At 44.2% G+C, this 6,241-nt stretch overlaps 1 annotated feature.

Annotated features, from left to right (window-relative positions):
• Positions 4,308-4,809: an enhancer, noted in NCBI's record as "NANOG hESC enhancer chr4:76254685-76255186 (GRCh37/hg19 assembly coordinates)". NCBI's record gives its function as "activates a minimal SCP1, AML or CMV promoter by ChIP-STARR-seq in naive H9 embryonic stem cells {active_cell/tissue: H9 hESC(naive)}" and the evidence as "EXISTENCE:reporter gene assay evidence [ECO:0000049][PMID:30033119]".

The following is a 6,241-nucleotide window of genomic DNA, read 5'->3' as shown; positions in this document are numbered from 1 at the left end:
GGAGTGTTTTACTTCCAATTATGTGGTCAATTTTAGAATAAGTGAAATGTGCTGCTGAGAAGATTGTATATTCTGTTAATTTGTGGTGAAGAGTTCTGTAGATATCTGTTAGGTTTATTTGGTCCAGAGCTGAGTTCAAGTCCTGAATATCCTTGTTAATTTTCTGTCTCATTCATCTGTTTAATATTGACAGTGGGATGTTAAAGTCTCCTACTATTATTGTGTGGGAGTCTGTCTCTTTGTAGGTCTCTAAGAACTTGCTTTATGAATCTGGGTGCTCCTGTATTGGGTGCATATTTATTTATGATAGTTAGCTCTTCTTGTTGCATTGATCCCTTTACCATTATGTAATGCAATTCTTTGTCCCTTTTGCTGTTTGTGGTTTAAAGTCTGTTTTATCAGAGACTAAGATTGCAGCCCCTGCTTTTTTTTTTTTTTGCTTTCCATTTCCTTAGTAGATCTCCCACCATCCCTTTATTTTGAGACTTTGTGTGTCTTTGCATGTGAGGTGGGTCTCCTGAATAGAGCACACTGATGGGTCTTGACTCTTTTTTTTTTTTTGAAACGGATTCTCACTCTGTCACCCAGGCTGGAGTGCAGTGGCGCCATCTCGGCTCACTGCAAGCTCCACCTCCCAGGTTCACACTGTTCTCCTGCCTCCGGAGCAGCTGGGACTACAGGCGCCTGCCACCACGGCCGGCTAATTTTTTTTTTGTTTTGTATTTTTGTAGAGATGGGGTTTCACTCTGTTAGCCAGGATGGTCTCGATCTCCTAACCTCGTGATCCGCCTGCCTTGGCCTCCCAAAGTGTTGGGATTACAGGTGTGAGCCACTGCACCTGGCCGTGTCTTGACTCTTTATTCAATTTGCCAGTCTGTGTCTCTTAATTGGGACATTTATTCAATTTATATTTAAGGTTAATATTGTTATGTGTGAATTTGATCCTGTCATTTTAATACTTGCTGGTTATTTTGCACTTTAGTTGATGCAGTTTCTTCATAGTGTTGACGGTCTTCCCAATTTGGTATGTTTTTGCAGTGGGTGGTTCTGGTTTTTCCTTTCCATATTTAGTGCTTCCTTTAGGAGTTCTTGTAAGGCAGGCCTGGTGGTGACAAAATCCCTCAGCATTTGCTTGTCTGTAAAGGATTTTGTTTCTCATTTGCTTAATAACCTTAGTTTGGCTGGGTATGAAATTCTGGGTTGGTCCAGAGCTGAGAGTTGAACATTGGACCCACTCTCTTCTGCCTTGTAGGGTTTCTGCAGAGAGTTCCGTTGTTAGTCTGATGGTGTGTCTTGGGCTTGCTCTTCTTGAGGAGTATCTTTGTGGTGTTCTCCGTATTTCCCGAATTTGAATTTTGGCCTGCCTTGCTAGGTTGGGGAATTTCTCCTGGAAAATATCCTGAAGAGTGTTTTCCAGCTTGGTACCATTCTCCTGTCACTTTCAGGTACATCAATCAAACGTAGGTTTGGTTTTTTCACATAGTCCCAATTTTCTTGGAGGCTTTGTTCATTCCTTTTCATTCTTTTTCTCTAATCTTGTCTTCATGCTTTATTTCGTTAAATTGATCTTCAATCTCTGATATTCTTTCTTCTGCTTGATTGATTTGGCTATTGATATTTGTATATGCTTCACGGAGTTCTCATGCTGTGTTTTTCAGCTCCATCAGGTCATTTATGTTCTTCTCTAAACTGGTTATTCTAGTTAGCAGTTCCTGTAACCTTTTATCAAGGTTCTTAGCTTCCTTGCATTGGGTTAGAACATGCTCCTTTAGTTCAGAGGAGTTTGTTGTTACCCAGCTTCTGAAATCTACTTTTATCAATTCATCAAACTCATTCTCTGTCCAGTTTTGTTTCCTTCCTGGCGAGGAGTTGTGATCCTTTGGAGGAGAAGAGGCATTCTGGTTTTTGGAATTTTCAGACTTTTTGCTCTGGTTTTTCCTCATCTTTGTGGATTTATCTACCTTTGGTCTTTGATGCTGGTGACTTTTGGATGGAGTTTTTGCAGGTGTGCCCTTTTTGTTGCTGTTGATGCTATTGCTTTCTGCTTGTCAGTTTTCCTTCTAACAGTCAGTCCCCTATTCTGCAGGTCTGCTGGAGTTTGCTGGAGGTCCACTCCTGACCCTGTTTGCCTGAATATCACCAGCAGAGGCTGCAGAACAAGAAAGATTGCTGCCTGTTTCTTCCTTTGGAAGCTTCATCCCAGAGAGGCATCTGCCAGATGCCAGTCGGAGCTCTCCTGTATGAGGTGTATATCCACCCCTGCTGGGAGATGTCTCCCAGTCAGGAGGCAGAGGGGTCAGGGACCAACTTGAGGAGGCAGTCTGTCCCTTAGCAGAGTTTGAGTGCTGTGCTGGGAGATCCACTGCTCTCTTCAGAGCAGGCAGGCAGGAACGTTTAAGTCTGCTGAAGCTGTACCCACATCTGCCCCTTCCACTGGTGCTCCATCCCAGGGAGATGGGAGTTTTATCTATAAGCCCCTGACTGGGGCTGCTGGCTTTGTGTCAGAGATGCCTTGCCCAGAGAGGAAGAATCTAGAGAGGCAGTCTGGCTACTGTGGGTTTGCTGCACTGTGGTGTGTTCTGCACCCAGTTCAAACTTCCTAGTGGCTTTGTTTACACTGTGAGGGGAAACCCCCCTACTCAAGCCTCCGTATTAGCAGATGCCCCTTCCCCCACCAAGCTGGAGCATCCCAGATGCACTTCAGACTGCTGTTCTGGTAGCAAGAATTTCAAGCCAGTGGCTCTTAGCTTGCTGGGCTCCATGGGGCTGGGATCTGCTTAGCAAGACCACTTGGCTCCCTGGCTTCAGCCCCCTTTTCCAGGGGAGTGAATGGTTGTGTCTCACTGGCTTTCCAGATGCCACTAGGGTATGAAAAAAACTCTTGCAGCTAGCTTGCTGTCTGCCCAAACAGCCACCCAGTTTTGAGCTTGAAACACAGGGCCCTGGTTGTGTAGGCGCCCGAGGGAATCTTCTGGTCTGTGGGTTGCAAAGATTGTGGAAAAAGTGTAGTATCTGGGCTGGACAGCACTGTCTCTCAAGGCACTGTCCCTCATGGCTTCCCCTGGCTATGGGAGGGAGTTCCCTGACCCCTGCACTTCCCGGGTGAGCCAACACCCCACCCTGCTTCTGCTCACCCTCCATGGGCTGCACCCAGTGTCTAACCAGTCCCAATGAGATAAACTGGGTACCTCATTTGGAAATGCAGAAATCACCCACCTCCTGCATTGGTCTCACTGGGAACCGCAGACCGGAGCTCTTCCTTTTAGGCCATCTTGCCAGCTTCTCCTGTCTGATGTTTATTTTTAAGCCTTCTGCAGACAAAGCTACTAGTATTCCCTGTAGGAAGGAACATTTTGTTTACAACTCATTAGTTTTGAAATCTAGTTTAAAGGAGATGGGACATGGCTTGACTGCTGTGATAAGACAAACATGGAAAAAAAAAGGGCTAATGTTTAAAATACCTGGGGCCTGAGCAGGGACTTCTTCCAGTATTTGCAAACTGGTAGAGTTCATTTAAAAACTTTCCTTAGGGAAATTTAAAAAATTAACACAGGCCAGGTGCAGTGGCTCACGCCTGTAATCCTAGCCCTTTGGGAGGCCAAGGCAGGCGGATCATGAGGTCAGGAGATCGAGACCATCCTGGCCAACACGGTAAAACCCCGTCTCTACTAAAATACAAAAAAAAGTTAGCTGGGCATGGTGGCACATGCCTGTAGTCCCAGCTACTCAGGAGGCTGAGGCAGTGGAATCGCTTGAACCTGGGAGGCGGAGGTTGCAGTGAGCTGAAATCGTGCCACTGCACTCCAGCCTGGTGACACAGTGAGACTCAGTCTCAAAAAAAAAAAAAAAAAAAAAAAATTAACACAGCAGGCCAAGGTTGGGTAATGATGGTACCACATCATTACCCAACTGATTACTACTGATGGTACCACATCACCATGATGATGGAAAGCTAGACTAGGGAACATTCAGAATGGCCAGCAAAAGTGGATTCTGGGAGAGTTCTATACTCTATAGGTCTATCAAGATTTAGTTTCTGTTTAAGTTCTCCCAGAATTCATGCTTTTTATATGGCTTGGCAAGCAATTATTTTATTTTTTTCATGTGAAATCATAATCTGGGACATTATTTTGGAAGGCATGCCAGTAGCTATTCTTTGGTCTACTCGGCCTCCGCTAGTTTTATTTTTAACCCTCTCTTGATTATTTCTAAACCCCTTAATCATGAAATCTCATTTTCTTTTATTAGGAGGGATTTATTCACAAGGTAGACTCAGACCTACATGCCATTCTTTAATATGTATTGCTGAATGCTGAGATGGTCCCGCAAGCATTAGCAAATGCTTCTGAAACAAGATACACAAAATATGTAGAAAATGAAGAAACTCAAGCCTGAGTACATGATTTGATAAATCAGTTCAGTTTTATAAATGCTGCAGAAATTCTTTTGAAAATAATAGTGACAGCAACAACAACAGGACTGATAACAATGACCTCTGACTGGGTTCCTAGTGATATGTTAAGTGCTGAAGATAAAATAATGAACAAGCTAGCCTAGGTCACTGTTGTTATGAAATTATGTCCCAGTATGGGGGACTATCCCCTTCATGACCACTAATAAGTAGATAAATAAATGAAGTAATTAAAGATTGTATAACCATGATAAGTGCAAAAAAGAGAAGAGGTTGAGATTTAATGGGCTGTGATGGGTGACAAATGCTTTTAATAGAGTGGCTATGAAGAGCTTCACTGAAGATTATCACTTAAGCTAAAACTTGTAGAAAAGAAGGAGTTTATATTTTAAAATGTAGGTAGACATAAATGTGAGGCAGAGAAAATAGCATGTCCAAGGGCCCTGAGGCAGTGAAGAGCTAGGTATATTCAACAAACTGAGAGAAGGCTGAGGAGGCTGGAGCACATTGAGTGTGGAGGAAAAAAATTAGGCTGGAGAGATTTCAGCAGGTCAATTATATTTGTACTGGTTTTACCCTTAAAAACAAGTACCACTTTATTTCCTCCTACCCATCTGTCACTTCCAAATTGTCCTAACTCTTGCCAAGTCAGGGGAATCAAAGAATCAGTCCACCGCAAATACTGTCAGTCTGCCTGACTTTAGTCTCTGCCAAGCAGAGTTGAGGCTGTGAAACTTTTATCTATAAACTCAGTTTCATCTCAAAAACGTACACTAATCTTGACTTCTGGTAGAGGGGTTTTAAGGAGAAATTGTCTGGGACTTTAGGACTCTGTCTCATATTATATTCATTGATGGTCTCACTCTGGTTTTGTGTCTGTTCTGATAAATAGCTTTTGCCTTCTCTTGAAGATCTGGTCTCAAATAATTTGTAAACTCATTCATTCATTCATTTATTCAGTTTGATTGAGGGACCTACTCTAGGCAGGGCATCATCTAAGGCCCTTTAGATACACACACGAATAAGATGGCTCTCTCCTCTGGGTCCTCACAGGGTAGCAGGGGAGGCAGACACTGTGGGACAATGCAGGGAGAGGGAGATCAGGGAACAAGGATAAGCAAACTTAGCCAAACTCAGGTAGCAATACGAGAATAGTAGGGTAGGGAGTAGGGAAGAGCACCTTACAGGCGGAAAAGACAGCAGGCACTGAGGAGGCAAGAAGTAGCGTGGCCTGAATGAAGAACTGTAGGTAGCAACTGGATCCTGGCCACATCTCTGTCACTCCAGGATTTGGACTGAGATTGTCATCCCAGGCATCAGCGATGCACCTGAACTCAGGACCTCTTCCCTGTGCCCGTGTCCCTCATACAGACTTGCTGGCCTTCCGAGCCTGCTGTGGGATCCCCTACTGTAATATTCTGGTCATTTATGAGGGCACTTGTGGCCTTATGCCAATTCGGGCAGCTCTATGATCCCTTGTGGTCTCTTGTGATACTGTTCTGCACTTCCTCTGGCATTTATGGGGAGACTTTCTGACTCCTAGAATGTTCTGTCCTCTTCTTGCTATTTATTAGGTCATCTGGGGGTTGAGTCAGAGGAGCCCTGGCCCTGATTGCACCCCAGAGGAACATTTTCCTTGGCTCTTTGTGGTGGAAAGAACGCAGCTTGCTGGAGGAGGGTTTCCATTGCCCTCCTCTCTTCTCTGCTCTTGTACAAGGCTTGCATCCTTTGAGAGTGACAAAGTCAAAAAGAGTGAGAGGTGAGGAGGACACAGGCAGTTTGACAGCGAAGAGAGCATCTCTGCTTAAGAAAAAAAAACTGGGTTTGAAA

Source organism: Homo sapiens, chromosome 4 (genome assembly GCF_000001405.40).
Source record: "Homo sapiens chromosome 4, GRCh38.p14 Primary Assembly".
Lineage (NCBI taxonomy): Eukaryota > Metazoa > Chordata > Mammalia > Primates > Hominidae > Homo > Homo sapiens.
This window is presented reverse-complemented; position numbering and strand designations above follow the sequence as displayed.